General features: G+C 40.8%; 1 long non-coding RNA gene across 1 annotated transcript in view; it reads left to right on the forward strand.

Annotated features, from left to right (window-relative positions):
* Nucleotides 1-16864, forward strand: part of CASC15 (cancer susceptibility 15) — a 529408-nt gene that overhangs the window by 226718 nt on the left and 285826 nt on the right. Inside the window, exon 5 of the long non-coding RNA NR_015410.2 lies at nt 16340-16473. This is a non-coding gene — a long non-coding RNA (cancer susceptibility 15). The remainder of the gene's footprint in view (nt 1-16339; nt 16474-16864) is intronic.

The raw sequence follows: 16864 nt of genomic DNA on the forward strand, positions 1-16864 counted from the left end.
TTCTGGTTCCAAACATGACCCTGCACAATTTGAAAATCCCTTGTCATCAAAGAAAGATTAAATTATGTTCATTACGTGAAAACATGGACTAATTAATGTATATCCTAAAGACGTCAGCGATAACTATAGAAAGGCTTCCTTTCATTGGGTGGGAGATTTAATTGGCTGATCTATGCTGTCCCTGCTAATGCTGAGATTCTCTGATTCCCTCACCTCTTACCGCACTCAGAAGGCTCAAAGTATAAATGGGTTTCTGGTTAACCTTTAGTGAATCAGTAATTTGATTTATCAAAACACCTCATTCAGTCTAGGAGTCTAATAATATGTTTAGCGCATGTGCTTTTGTCAGAAGAATCTTCATAAAACATAGTGATCGTAGACAAGAGAATGCGTCTTTTTGATTTCCTAGACCAATAGTGGATGCTTCTCTACATTGCAAGTCAGCATAGTGTGATTCTTTAGGCTCCCAGTGGTGTTGAAGTTACTTTTGTTACTTGTCATGCTTCCTTTATTGCGTATGTGTGTGTGTTTGTGTGTGTGTGTGCGTGTGTGTGTGTAAAAAGCAATAACAGTGGTGTTACTTTTGGAGATTTTTATCTACATGTATTTTTTACTCTATTAATTTTGCAGTGGAAGTAATGTGTTTCCATCTAATATACATCTTGTAGGCCAGTATCACTCTCAGCACTTCACATTCACCCCTAATTTTTTTTGTTAAAGGCATGTTTCCACCTCAGACACTAATTATTAAAATCGCATGATTTGCCAGATAAACACAACCAAGTAGTGTCATTTGAGCAACAAATCAATGAGCAAATATTGATTCAACACACATTCCACATGAGTATGACACCATCTGCGGTTCTGTACATGATTTATACAGGAAGACACAGAGTGTCTCTGCCTTTAAATGGCTCAAAGTCAAATTAGTGGTAGACTATGGAGAAAACGCAGAAAATCTTAATGAAAACTCTTAAACCAATTTTCAACAGCTGCTAACACAGCAGTGTGGTCATTCATTGAGTATCTGCTGAGTGCCCTGCTACAAGTTGGAAGGCGTGCTGAGGGCTGGGGTTGCACAGGGATGTGACACAGTCCTGGTCCTCTGGGAGTTTACCGAATGGAGTTTACCATCTTTGACCGTACAGTTAGTAAGATGAAATGATCACCTTCAGTAATCCATAAGTGTGAATACAGTAATTATGTTGATTACTCCTAGGTAAATTGTCTGGAAGGTCTAATATCTGTTATAGAAAGAGTAGTCTTCATTGCTAGTTACTGGTGAATTTGCTTGTGGATCTCTAAATTGTGGGGTGTGTGTATGAGAGAGAGAGAGTGAGAGAGAGAGAGAGAAGAGAGAATGTCTGTAGTAAATCATGTTGGATTTGGGAGTTCTATATATTTCCAATTCTATTTTCAGCCTGTATCTTTTCTTGTAGATGGTATAATGCAGTTAGAAAGAGCATGACTGCTGACTTTGGAGTTCATAGTTCTAGTTTTAAGTTTGACTTTGCAACTTACCAACTGCATGCAATTAGGCAAATAACATAAGCTCCATGAGCCTCCACTTATGCATCTATAAAGAAAACACAATAAGAAACCCTAACCTATCTATGTCATCTGTTATGTGAGGGCTCAAATGAGACAATAAAAATAAAATGAGGGGCCGGGTGCGGTGGCTGACACGCCTGTAATCCCAGCACTTTGGGAGGCTGAGGCGGGCGGATCCTGAGGTCAGGAGATCAAGACCATCCTGGCTAACATGGTAAAACACCATCTCTACTGAAAATACAAAAACAAAATTAGCCGGGCGTGGTGGCGGGCGCCTGTAGTCCCAGCTACTCAGGAGGCTGAGGCAGGAGAATGGCGTGGACCCAGGAGTCAGAGCTTGCAGTGAGCCGAGATTGTGCTGCTGCACTGCACCCTGGGTGACGGAGTGAGACTGTGTCTCAAAAAATAAAAATAAAATAAAATAAAATGAGGGCCGGGTGCAATGGCTCATGCCTATAATCCCAGCACTTTTGGAGGCCAAGGCAGGGCAGATCACTTCAGGCCAGGAGTTCGAGACCAGCCTGGGCAACATAGTGAAACCCCGTCTCTACTAAAAATACAAAAATTAGGTGGGTGTGGTTGTGGGTGCCTGTAATCCCAGGTACTCAGGAGGCTGAGGCATGAGAATTGCTTGAACCCGGGAAGTGGAGGTTGCAGTGAGCCGAGAACGCACCACTGCACTTCAGCCTGGGCAACAGAGCGAGATTTTGTCTCAAAATAAATAAGTAAATAAATAAATAAATAAATAAATAAGTGAAATGAAAGGATTTAGAAAATTAGAAATACTCTATGGAAATAGTAATGGGTGGTGGTGAAAGACTGGTTCTCATTAAATACCTCTTCTATGAAAGAGGTGTTTTCATGAAACATGGTTTTCAGTTTTTGAAGATAATTTTGGTTGCATCCAAGGGCAAGTTATAGTTTGTGGGCCTAATAGTAGTATGATGGAAATTTAAGGACTCTGGCTCATGTCCTTGAACATTTATCATTGATAAAGGGAAATCCATGTGTCAAGTGATAATTCTAGGATTCTAAATTTCACTTGCAAACCAGGCTTAGACTTAACTTTCGCAATGTGAAAGAATTATGTAAAAGCTGGCCATGTGCGTGTTTTGTTTTTGTTTCACTGAGTAAAGTTTCCGATCTATCAAGAAGATGTTGGCGCTCTAATGTTCATTCATTTATGTAAACACTGCTTCAATGTAAGCTTATGTTTATGCTGCCGTATGTTTTGTTCACGGGTGTAACCCCAGTGCCTAGAGCAGGGCCTGGTCACGAACAGATGCTCAATGGATTTTTCTTAAATTAATGACCGTGTTGAGGGACTGTTGTGTTTTAGGCACTCTGCAAGGCATTTGGAAATATTGGGAAAGTAGAGTAAAGATGTGTGACCTGAAGAACCTCAAAATCGAGCAGGGAGAAAGAAAAATAAACAGCAAATGACAACTGTTTAACAAGTGAGGAGTTATGGGGACCTGGATGTGGGGAAGGTTTGCAGTCAGGAAGATTTCATGGAGGCGATGGTGACAATTATGTTCCATGTAATCTGTTCTTCTTCGAAGGGCATTGGGGGCGGTGGGAGTGCTTAGCTCTCTTTACAGGCAATGAGAGAGTTCACTGTCTGTAGGAAATTTAGGAACAATAGACCCCGCATGGTGGCTCATGCCTGTAATCCCAGCACTTTCGGAAGCCGAGGTGGGTGGATGACGAAGTCAGCCTGACCAACATAGTGAAACCCTGTCTCTACTAAAAATACAAAAATTAGCCGGGAATGATGGTCCATGCCTGTAGTCCCAGCTACTGAGGAGGCTGAGGCAGGAGAATCACTTGAACCCTGGAGGCAGAGTTTGCAGTGAGCCTGAGATTGGGCTCCAGCCTGGGTGACAGAGCGAAACTCAGTCTCAAAAAAAAAAAACAATAATAAAATTGACTATTAAAGTCAGTCTGTGCTTTTATTATCCCTATGCAGGGGATAATTCTGAAGTAAGACTGTGATAAAACACTCGTGGCTGGGTGTGGTGGCTCACGCCTGTAATTCCAGCACTTTGGGAGGCCGAGGTGGGCGGATCACCTGAGGTAAGGCAAGACCAGCCTGGCCAACATGGTGAAACCCCATCTCTACTAAAAATACAAAAATTAGCCGGGTGTGGGGGCAGGTGCCTGTCATCCCAGCTACTCGGGAGGCTGAGGCAGGAGAATCACTTGAACCCGGGATGCAGAGGTTGCAGTGAGCTGAGATCGCGCGATTGCACTCTGGCGACAAGAGCGAGACTTGTCTCAAAAAACAAAACAAAACAAACAAAACAAAAAAAAACCACACTCCTTTCTCCAGTCCCTTTCAGATACTTGAACTCCAGAGACAATCGTCTCTTTGAAGGTAGAGCCTTCCTAGGCACAGTGGCTCATGCCTGTAATCTCAGCACTTTGGGAGGCTGAGGTGGGTGAATCAGAAGGTCAGGAGTTTGAGACCAGCCTGGCCAATATAGTGAAACTTTATCTCTACTAAAAGTACAGAAAATTAGGCTGGGCGTGGTGGCGGGTGCCTGTAATCCCAGCACTTTGGGAGGCTGAGGCAGGCAGATCACTTGAGGTCAGGAGTTCACGACCAGCCTGGCCAACATGGTGAAACTCTGTCTTTAAAAATAAATAAAAAATAAAAAATTAGCCAGGTGTAGTGGCAGGTGGCTGTAATCCCAGCTACTCAGGAGGCTGAGGCAGGAGAATTGCTTGAACCCAGGAGGCGGAGGCAGGAGTGAGCTGAGATGGCGCCACTGCACTCCAGCCTGGGCAACAGAGTGAGACTCTGTCTCAAAAAAAAAAAAAAAAAAGGCCGAGTGCAGTGGCTCATACCTGTAATCCCAGCACTTTGGGAGGCCGAGGTGGGTGGATCATCTGAGGTCAGGAGTTCAAGACTAGCCTGACCAACATGGAGAAACCCCATCTCTACTAAAATACAAAATTAGCCGGGCGTGGTGGCGCATGCCTGTAATCCTAAGTACTCGGGAGACTGAGGCAGGAGAATTGCTTGAACCCCGGAGGTGGAGGTTGCGGTGAGCTGAGATCATGCCACTGCACTCTAGCCTGGGCAACAAGAGCAAAACTCCGTCTCAAAAAAAAAAAAAAAAGAAAGTAGAGCCTTCTGGCTTGGTAATAATTTTACAGATGTGTTGTATTAAACAAAACAAAACACTGAAAAAAACCTTAACTGTGAATACACATACGATCCAAGATAACCCCAGGAAAAAAGAAAATATGTTTTCTCTAACTCTTAGAAGTTTAGAAAAGCTTTTCTTTTCTCATTCTTTCAAAGCAAGATGATCTTTTTAAAAATCTGCTGCATCTTAAAATTGATACCTTCTTGGGTCAGCCTCATGTACTATCACACTTCTATTATCAAAGAATGACCTTTCATTTGTTGAAAGATAATTTTTATGAAAAATTGATGTTGAATTCCACCATGTGCCTTTTCAAAGTCCTAGCTTGATCTACCAGGGGATTATTGTTATATAGTACTTTTATTCCTAGACTTAAACAAAACAAAAACCTTTCTTGTACCAGCCAACTGTGTCCCAAAATTCATAACTCAGTACTCATCATTCTCTGTTGAAATTTTATCTTTTCAGTGTTGTGCAATATTTTGGATGTTGTCCATATTATAGGCTAGTCAGGATCTGCCACCTTGCTATTTTTCAGGTATGTAGAAGGAGGTGGAAAATTAGTCTCAATATCTAAATCAAACAAAAAATCCGTTTATGAAAGTTCTGAATTCCTTAGGATAAATTTTTGTTCTTTGAAGGCTATGACTTATCAAATGGTACCTAATGCTGTGTGGATAGCCGTGCCCGCCAAAGTAGCTTATTTACCCGGCAGGATTGAGACCACTGATTTTTGTAGAGTAAGTCATAACAGCCTATTAACATTCCGTTATGCTGAGCATAGAACTAATAGGAGAACATCTGTGAGGTCAGAGATCAGAAGTAGACTTCAGAATGTACTATTCAAAAAAGGATGCAATGGAGAACATTTACAGAGGACTGTGGGTAAAGCAAAGTCTTCAAGGGAAGATAACAAAGGATGAAACAATGGTGTTGTGTGACTTCCTAGTGAGTGAGATACTGTGAATTTAATCTATAGCTAACTTAATTTACTCTTCATCAAAATTTAGCTGACTCCAACATGCATACACCTTTTGAGCTTCCTCTAATTTTCTGTTATTAGGGTTTTACATATTTAGCTCAACTAATTGAATTAGAAGATGCAGGAACATTGTCGGAATGTTTGAATCTCATTTAATGCTTCATATTGGGACAGACGAGGCACTCCGAAGGCAGAAAGGCCAGTTGGGACACAACTGCTGGGGAGGGGCAGGAGGCTGTGGCCATTCCTATAAGACAGTTCAGGGGGCCGTTCCAAGCCAGGGAGACCTGGCAGGGATCTGAGAAATACACAATAAGTGAAATGGAACAATTTTTCTACTGTTTTAGCTATTATCTAGAACCCATGTTAGACCCTTAACTGGCCTTGGCGTGAACTTGACATTTGAATCATTTGGGAGCTTTAGGCAGTAAAAACTGGAAGAATATACCTGGAAAAGCAGGTTTGAATGCGAGGATTAAGTTATATTAAGATTAAATTGGGGCCGATTGCAGTGGCTCACACCTGTAATCTCAGCACTTTGGGAGGTGGAGGTGGGTGGATCCCTTGAGGTCAGGAGTTCGAGACCAACCTAAACAACGTGGCGAAACCCCGTCTCTACTAAAAATACAAAAATTAGCCAGGCATGTTGGTGTATGCCTGTAAGCCCAGCTACTTGGGAGGCTGAGGCAGGAGAATCACTCGAACCCGGGAGGCGGAGGTTGCAGTGGGCCAAGATGAGGCCATTGCGCTCCAGCCTAGGCAACAAGAGTGAGGTTTACATTGTGGTAGGCATTGAGAGGTGTAAAGTAAATAAAATAGAACCCTCACTTTCAAGTGACAGCTCTAGAGAGCCTATATCCCGAAGGCTCTAGAACCTGCAAACTTCAAAAGAACCCCGGCAATGTGTGAAATAAGTTTAAAGTAAATATTACTTAATTGCTCATTCAGTCATCGAATAGCCATTGTTTGGGTGGAAATTGGGGAAGAAAATGTGTTGCTTAAGAACACGATAAGGAAGGAGTGGTCAGACAAGTAGAAGGATTGCTGGGAAGAATCGTGTCCAGAAAACAGAGGGAAGAGATAATTTCCAGAAGGAAAGGGTGGGTCAACTGTATCACATGCCACAGAGAAGCCAAGTGAAGATAAGCTTACAAAAGTGAGTAGTGGTGATACGGAGGTAATTGGTGACCTTTAGGAGAACTGATTAGTGGGAGTGGTATGGGGGAAAGCCTGTTTGCAGGAAGTTAAGGAGTGAAGCCGACTCTTATAAGACTCTTTAGAAAGAGAAGGGGCGTGTATGAGATAAAGGAGGGTGAAATATGGGACAAATTCCCTCAGTTTGTAATTGTGTGATTTTGCAAAACTTATTTACTTACTCTGTGCCTCAGTTTCCTTGTCTGTAAAACAATAGATGATACTAGTAGCTCTTATTTGAGAGAAGCAAATGAGTCAACACCATTATACGCAGTAGATTCTTATTAGATTGATATCTTAAAAGAAGTCCAGTAAAAATGCAATTGTAATGTAAAGAGCAATTCCAGTTTATGGGTTTGAAAGTATTTCTCTTTTTTATGTATTTTTAATTATGATTAAAAAACAATGTGAAACTTACTGTCTTTACTATTTCTAAGTACACTATTCAGCAGTGTTAAGTATATCACATCATCGTGCAGCCAATCTCCATAACCTTTCATCTTGCAAAACTGAAATTCTATATCCACTAACCAACAGCTCACCATTTCCCGCTCCCCGCAGCTCCTGGCAACCACCATGCTCCTGGCAACCACCATGCTCCTTTCTGTCTCTGAGTTTCAGTACTCTGGATACTCCATGTGATGGAATCACACCCTATTTGTTTTTGTGTAACTGGCTTATTTCACTTAACATGATGTCTTCCAAGTTCATCCATGTTGTAGCCTGCATCAGACTTCTTTTCTTTTTAAAGGCTGAATAATATTCCATTGTATGTATATGTCACATTGTGTTTTTCCATTTATCCAATGATGGACATTTAGGCAGCTTCCACCTTTTGGCTATTGTGACTAACGCTCTGTGAGGAAGGGTGTATAAATAACTATTTCTCTTTTTTAAACTAGTGATGTTTACTCTTCTGCATGTGTGTGAGTCATGGCTGGTTTAAGGCCAGCACAAGAATGGATCATGCAGGGGAGGTGGAAGCTCTCAGGAGAAATCTACAAGACCACAGGTTGGAGACAGAGCTCAGAGACAGAAAAGCATTTTTCCTTTAGAACATAGAAGTACCATTCACAAGAGTACTGTGCTCCTGGCGGTATTTTCCAACAGAGAAGGGAAAGTCCTGTCTTCAGTTCGTTTTTAAACTTAAGCTGCTAGAGGACCTCAGGTGTGTCTCTCATTGTGTTGGGATGTCAAAACATTTTGCTTTACTGTGCAATTTATTTTTCCTTGTATTGTATAGAGCAGTGATAATGAGGGGCAGGAAGCCTCTAGATAGCTGAAGAGCCCATTACAGAAGTCCTACTGTGAGTTAACTGCAAAGGTTAGATGAATCTAGGAGCTGAGAGTGGGCCCCATCCCCTGCTGTGGGTGGTTAATTCCTGGTGGTTTTCGGCATTTGTCCTATTTAATTATTGTTCCTTTTCCGAGTAAGAAATGACATCAGGCTGGGTGTCATGGCTCACACCTGTAATCCCAGCACTTTGGGAGGCCGAGGTGGACGGATCACCTGAGGTCGGGAGTTCGAGACCAGCCTGGCCAGCATGGTGAAAGCCCATCTCTACTAAAAATAGAAAAATTAGCTGGGCGTGGTGGCAGGTGCCTGTAATCCCAGCTACTTGGGAAGCTGAGGCAGGAGAATCGCTTGAACCAGGGAGGCAGAGGTTGCAGTGAGCCGAGATTGCGCCACTGCACTCTAGCCTGGTGATAGAGTGAGACTCTGTCTCCCAAAAAAAAAAAAAAAAAAAAAAGAAAAAAAAGTAGAACAGTATTACCCAGTAGAGTTGATGTTCCAGAAGTTTCTTCAGACCAGAGCAGAGTTCATAACTTACCTGTAAGGGAGCATGGTAATGTCACAGTTTACTCTTCAACTCTCTTAAGGTTTATTTTTATTCTTTTTCTTGAGACAAAGTCTCGCCCTGTTGCCAGGCTGGAGTGCAGTGGCACGATCTCGGCTCACTGCAACCTCCGCCTCCCAGGTTCCAGCGATTCTCCTGCCTCAGCCTCCTGAGTAGCTGGGATTACAGGCTCGTGCCACCACACCCAGCTAATTTTTGTATTTTTAGTAGAGACGGGATTTCACCATGTTGGCCAGGATGGTCTCGATCTCTTGACCTCGTGATCCGCCTGCCTTGGCCTCCCAAAGTGCTGGGATTACAGGCGTGAGCACCGCGCCCAGCCTCAAGGTTTATTTTTATGTTTCTAAAGACAGAGTCTCTCTGTTGCCCAGGCTGGAGTGCTGTGGCACAATCGTAGCTCACTGCAGCCCCAAATTCCTGGGTCCAAGGGGTCATCCCGCCTCAGCTTCCTCAGTAGCTGGGACCACAGTTGCATGCCACTGAGCCCAGCTAATTTATTTTTATTTTTAGTAGAGATGAGGTCTCACTATGTAGCCCAGGCTGGTCTTGAACTCCTGGCCTCAAGTGATCCTCCTGCTTCAGCCCCCCAAAGTGCTGGGATTATAGGCATGAGCCATTGTGCCCAGCTTCTCTTAAGGTTTTATGAACAAATTAGCTTTGATTTCTCCTAGGTGGCTTGATGTTGAATAAGCTAATGCAGAACTGTGTGCAAAGTAGACTGGGACTGCCATTTCTAGATGAAAAGAAAGGAGGGGGAAAGGAGAATACATTTTTACAGCCACCTTTTTCTATGGCCTACTTAATGATCATAATGGCTTCCACCCCCCGGAACTAGATGCTAGTCTTATGGCCCCCTCTCTCATTCAAATGTTTTGGGAACACCTCCGATGTTCTGCTGCTTCCACCCTGGAGTCTCAGGGTCACCTCCCACTCTTTCAGATCCCCTTCCCTGGTTGTCTTCGGCCCTATGCCTCATCCCAACTCCTTTGAACTTTTGTTTTACCCAGTTGCTGGTTCCTTTAGATGCACGAACAGTGACAGTCTGCTGAGTTATGTGAATGATGTTGGGTATTACTGCCACCAGCAGTTCTAAAGCTCCCCCTCTTCACATTCTTTGTCCCAGAAGGGGCTCTCAATGCTGAAGGTAAATCGCTTCGTGTGAGAATGCGGGCCTCTTGTTTGGGAGAGTCTGCTTGGCCTCTGAATACAGAAGCATAAACTTCAGGACATTACTTAGGCCATTACTTGAGGACATTACTTAGGGAAGTATTTTTTTGTCTTGGTAGGTTTTTAAATGTTGGTTTAAAAACCTAAATAGAAGTGACTTTTTCAGAATAATAACTTGTGAGGAACAACTGGTCCTGGTGGATAAAGCCTAGACTCAGAATCAATAGACCAGGATTGTTTTTCTCCTTGTTCAAATATCTGTGTGGTCTCTGAAGTAAACAGAGCAACACTTTCCCTAAATGTAAATATTTTCGGCAGATGGGGATTTTTAAAAGCTTGTGGCTCGCCTGGACAAAGGATTTTTAATTATTCTTTCTGAAATTTTATGAAAGAATGGGAGAAAAGAATAAGAAAAAAAAAAAATCCGGAGCAATTAGAAAGAAGAAGATCCCAGTGATTATAGGCAGGGGAAGGGGACGTTGAGGGCTGGCAGGTACCCAGGGCATGGAGGGAGAGAAGACAGAATTCCAGACAAGACCAGGAAGCAAGACTTTGCTTCTCCAGCCAGTGTATGTTGGTTTTACTTGACTGGCAGTGCAGATTATGAAAAAACAAACCTAGATATACTGGAAACTAGATCCCAGCCTTTTCTTGTTTTTTTCTTTCTTTTTTTATTTTTATTTTTATTTTGAGACAGAGTTTCCCTCTTGTTGCCCAGGCTGGAGTACAGTAGCGCAGTCTCGGCTCACCTCAACCCCTGCCTCCTGGGTTCAAGTGATTCTCCTGCCTCAGCCTTCCTAGTAGCTGAGATTACAGGGATGCACCACCATGCCTGGCTAATTGTGTATTTTTAGTAGAGATGGGGTTTCTCCATGTTGGTCAGGCTGGTCTCGAACTCTTGGCCTCCCAAAGTGCTGGGATGACAGGCGTGAGCCACCGCACCTGGCAATCCCAACATTTTCTACTTCAAAATGGTCTAAAGTTCTGTCTGGTCTGGTAGGTTTTCCCTGGACTTTTATCTCTTGTTTCCTCCATCTTCCCACTGCCTTTGGTGGCCCAGTTCACACTCATTACAAACTTTTCTCCCTAAATAGAACTTTTCCTCTGCTTCCCTCTCCTACCATGGTTTACCTGTTCAATTGATTATGTACTTTGAGCATTGACCAATAGATTCCTGTATGAAGTAAATTTATTCTAAAGGTTTAATAGCTAGGTATTTTATCAAGGGGCTTTGGTGCCTAAGAGACCAAGCTATGGTGGGGATTTGAGTCTTTAGACAAGCAGCCCAGGAAGAGATTGTTTTGAGAGCAGTTCGGCTTCTTGGTGCTCCTGAACGTCTTGTAGGTATATATGCTTCATGAGGCAAAATTGTGACTCTGGACTTACTAAAATACGTTCCGTAGTAAGAATTTTTTAAAAAATGCAGTTTTCTATGACTCAACTTTAGAGGTTTTCATTAAATATTAGAGCTGGAAAGGACCAATACTGGTCACACTCTAAAGAAGTTTTTTCATGAATTGATACATATCTAATTTGTTGATACCTCTTAAAGTGAGAGAAGGCAAAGAAAGCTCCTGAGATTGTGCTTGTCTTGATCAATACAAGCACAATGAGTTGCTGAGATGAATGAGTTTGGCAATTGGCTATAATCTGAGAATGTTCCGAACTTAGTAGATTGGGGATGTGTTTGTGTTCCCAGGTTAATTGCTTATTTAGCTGGCATTCATTTGGGGCTGCTAGTCCATTTGTTAATTCTGAAAGTTGTTGGACATTTGTTTAATAAAAACAAATATATTTGGAGAAATCCAGCATCCCAAGTAGCCACATTAGTAGGAATTAAGTAGGTACAAAGTAATGGTTTAAGAAATGATAGTCTTTTGTATGGCAAGGTAAAAGCAAAATGTCTTTTAGAAGGAAAATTTCAAATTGATTAATTTTTAAAGTCTGTTATCCTGTTTAATACTTGTGTATCTCTGAGAATATAAATGAGGTAAAGAGGTAATTAAGACATTTAATATTTGTATCACAACTGTGGAAGATATGAAATTGTTATTTTCCAATTGATCATTACGTAAGAGAGATTTGAGAACATTTTGATTAGAATCACTTAGACTTTTCTGTCCCTATATGAAGCGTACCAGATTGAGGCATTTTCCTAGTAATTACAGGAAGTCTTATTTAATTAAATAAAACTGTTTCTCATGGTGTTTCTGGCCTTCAGTAACTGAAGGTTTTTATTTTGATTATGTGTTTTTTGTTTTCAGAGACTGTATTTACCATCTAGAAGCATATCAAGCCCATCACAAAAGTGTGTACAAAACAACAGCTTAATTTAACTTGAGATTCAATATTGGCCCTTTTACCTAAAGCACCTGATTTTTGAATACCAGTTGTGACCATCTATTGACACATGCTAGGAATACATGCTAGTTTTTGTAACGAGAAGATAAATGAAAAGGCTCTTAGAATTATTAGAAAACAATATTTTCTTTTTGACTTTTTCCAGAGAAAAATCAAGACAAGACTTTGTTCTATTTCATCAAGTCCTTGACGCCTCCTCCCAGCTGGTCAGGTTCTTTTTATGTGGCATTTAAGCCTTGAGTTGTTGTGAGTCAACAAATGGACAACAGCAAATGTTCAGCCATCTTATTGGTGTTAAGCCTAGCAAATAGGCAAATTATATGAATACACCAAATGCATAAACAAGTTTTCATGAGCCAACGATTCCAAATGAGCCCAGCAGCTGCCAGTTATGTCCTTAAGAATAGAAGTGGCCCTACTCATCCTCTAATCTGTTATTGCCCCAAGTTGGGAAATGTCAGCTGTAAGATTTATAGATTTAGGGCTCTGGAATAACAAGTTGCCTCTTAGAACTTTTCAGCTCTAAAAGCTTCTTGTTAGCCAGCTAGACAGAGATATAGAAACATATTTATGCTTTCCATATATAATTCTTGAATCATTTACAACATCAGTGGTGGGCTTTAAAAATATATATATATATATATATATACACACACACTATAACATATAAATTACACACACACACATTATAACATAAATTACACACACACACACACACACACACACACGTCTCTCTCTATCTGTATCTCCCTAAGACATTGATACAAGTACTCATCAGTAAACCATGATAATTTTCAGAAGAGGCTTGCTTTGACTGGTAAACTCATATTGGTACCTGGAACACAAAACTCCTACAGCTACGCTTGTTTTGTAGTCTGAGCTTAATAAGCAATATCCTTAAGGTAATGAAAATCAGTTCCTCTTCTGCTCCCTAATAACATCAGTCCTTTTTGAATCTGTACGATTTTTCTCGTACTCTTCTCCCCCAAATTTCCCCCTTAAAATTGTGGCATTGGATATAATGGTTTTATGATTTGGAGGACTGTTAATTTCTAATTGAAATTGAATATCTATGGTTCACTATTCAGTGCTGAACTTGATATGAGAAACATTTCCTGGTAAATCAGTAAAACCAGCTTTATGTCTTCCCGCAAATAATCAAGTGGCAGGTAGAACGGACATCTGACCTAGTTGCTCCTTGGACTGCTTTTGGTCAAAAGAAATTGGTAAACCACTCAGTCTATAAATTTTTCTTTCTGTGATTCTGTAGTGTCAGGACAACATTGCCATGGGTACTTTACTTATACGGAGAAACAAAACCTAAATCTCAAACCACCATTTATAAAACCCACAAACTCTTGGGCTGTCATTTGGGTTACAGACTTGAAGCTCCCTTTCTGGTTGCGTTCTCTGGAGTGGGTGAATGCCTGTCTGATGGGGATGCATTTTTAAAGGCAAGACAGATTTAAGGGTATAATTTAGTGACATTTTGCTGACTGCATTTCTCTCTATATACATGTCTCTTCATATATTTCACAATTTTACCAATATTCAGTTACCTCTTAGCCTACTTGAAGCAGGCCCCACAATTTTGGGACTGTTTCTTATATACATAATGACTCAATAAAGGTGTCTCATTATGACATTAGTCATTCTGTTAACTTAAGTGCTATTTTTTGACTGTATGTATAAATCAGTGTATATTTAACAAGTGAGCTGACCAAATGCCATTAAATGAGTTGTCCTTATTTTGGTTTTTTTCCTGCTCCAATTTTAAGTTTTCAAAGAAATCCAGCATGTAACTACCACTTTTAAGTCTCCACTTTTTAATTTTGAATACCAAATATGGCAGAGTTATTCAGGTGGCCAAGTAGACTTTTTCTGACCTCGAATGTGGTTTACTGGTATTACACTTAAAAAAAAAAAGACAAAAAGTAGATGTCAGTATTTGCTGTTTTAGGATAGCATAAGCCTTTGAGATTTCCCAAAGATCATTTTAACAGTCTGATATGCAGCTGTTTGACATCTACGTTTTTAGCTAAAAGGCGTCATCCCCATATTCGTATTTAAGTGGCCCTGGAACATAATGCGGAGATAGGTCACTGTGGGTTAATCTTTGGACACTTCATATCTGACAGGCACCAGCATCTGTGGTTTATTTTGTGGTGTTCCTTAGGTCTAGAAATAAAATTCTTTTAAACCTGATGATAGTCAGGGGAATGTTTACTAAGATAGTTTTCCTTCCATTTGCACAGTTTTAAAGCTGGAGCTAAAATATAACACATGGGATTAAAAAAAATAAAATCTGTCATCCATAAAGTAATTCATGGCACTGGTAAGGTTGAAGTAACCTCAGGGACTCATGTTCTGTGGTGGAGTGTACATCAAGGTGTATTCCTTTTATTAGGAACGTATTATATCCATATACTTTAATATGGATGGCAGATATTAGCAGAGGCTTACTGGGGAAAAAGAATAATTTTTGTGTGTGCATGTACATTTAGGCTAAGGCATTATAAGTTGTAGATTTCCACAGCACAACCCAAAATTCAAAGGAGATGCCTTTTAAAGAATATAGTGGTGATGGAGTCTGGGTAAGAAAATCCTGTGTTGAAAGTTGAGCAGACCACAATCATTTATATGCAGTCAAAGAGCTTTTGGTCCTGCAATGTAGGGCATATAATCTTATTACAAAGCCCTTTAAAATCAATAAAAACATCCCTAAAAGTGTGGTAGCATTGAGTTCATTCTTTTTTTAAAAAAAATCTATTTTCAATTACATTATTCCATTTAAATGTATCACAATGGCTTTTATTTCAAAGATACTTCTAGCCTATGTATATATTCACAGCTGTCAGAAATACGTGTCATTCTTTGTCTTACAAATCCCTGTTCTCAGCCATTTCAGAGCCTAATCCTTGAGGCGGCCATTTTGCTGAAAGGCAGTTAAAGAAACAGTCTGTCAGCCTGGTCTGATTCTTGCTGAAAAAGCGTCATTTCTGTACCCAATGTGAGCTTTAGTTCCAGATTTTTGAATGATGTAAAAATTAAGGTCAGGGAATCAAATATAAAAAATACATCTTGCAGGCAGAGCCCTCATTAGCATCCAGTCATCAATCTCCCAAATCTAGGAGCTGGGAGACCATTGTACTGTTATCCTGCTGATATTGAGTTGATAGCAAGTTTAATGGAACAGGCTGGCAGTTGTGAAGGGCAGCTGATAATGATGGTGCAAGCTCAACGAAAAAGTTGGGTAAAATCTGCAGGAGGTGTTTTCTCTCATTTGGCCTTGTTCTGTTGGCTGTTGGCATTTGCTTGGCAAGAGGGAGGTGTTCTTATCTCCCCAGCTAGAGAAATTTTAAATGTGCTTAAAAATACCGAGTGTGCACTTCTGTTACTGCCTCTTCCTAACAAGACCAGTGGAAGCAGGGCAGTTGTGTATTGAGTAGGAAAATCCACTCAAACTGATAACATTCAGGTAAACCTGAAAACAGTTTGCATTTTCTGGTAATTAAATTAAAAGAAGGCGGTTGACTATCAAAAGCCCTTTTTCCTCATGTAGTAAATGAGCACATAATCTTAAAAAATAAGGTAACCTCAAATATTTTTGTCTTCAGGATTAATGGTATGTTTTGATTTTTAAACACTTCTGGGTAAAGTTTGATGAGTGCTTTTATATAATTAGGTAGCATCTTAAAACATATGATTGGTTATGTTTCTGCCTTGCAGAGTTTATGAGACGAAAGTTGGCCAAACAACAGGGCTAATTTTACTAATTAAAGTCGTGCTGCCCAAGTGGGTTAACATGATATAGATGTTTGGTTTTAATAGAGCTTGGAAAGGGTACGGAGTCCTAAAATGTTCTGTTTGGAAAGCTTTGGTCTATAAAATTTGCCTTTAATACGGCTGACGACCCTTAATTAGAATGATAAACTGTACTTGCTGGTGTGATGTCTATTTGAGAAGAAGCAATACCGGTGTGCCTAAGTGTCATTGTTTTTAGTGTATTAAGATGCCTTTTTTTCTGGGCATGGCATTTCTGAGTACCTGTCTTCTCTGCTCTGTTTCAGGTGTGAATCATGGCAATACAGTGAAAGACAGTGATTTACTGCTTTTGAGGGCGTGCATGTATATGATTAACGGATGGAAGTGCAGGACTCCAAGATTTACTTCCTTCCCTTTCCAGCAGAATTACCTGAGACGAGTGAGTAATGGGATAATTTGTAATACCACAGGCCCCTTTTCAAGGGACCAGTAATCAAAACAGGAAGATGAAACTGAGAAGATTTCAACTGGAAGAATACAACTTTTGATAATTTCTGGATATACCTCTTAATTGCAAGCAGGAGAGTCTTCAGAGTTTTCCTGTGGTGGTGGTTGTTGTTGTTGTTGTTGTTGTTGTTTGAGATGGAATTTTGCTCTTATTACCTGGGCTGGAGTGCAGTGGCATGATCTTGGCTCACTGCAACCTCCGCCGCCCCACCCCCCGGGTTCAACCAATTCTCCTGCCTCAGCCTCCTGAGTAGCTGGGATTATAGGCGCCCGCCACCATACCCGGCTAATTTTTGTATTTTTACTAGAGATGGGGTTTTACC

Source organism: Homo sapiens, chromosome 6, assembly GCF_000001405.40.
Source record: "Homo sapiens chromosome 6, GRCh38.p14 Primary Assembly".
Lineage (NCBI taxonomy): Eukaryota > Metazoa > Chordata > Mammalia > Primates > Hominidae > Homo > Homo sapiens.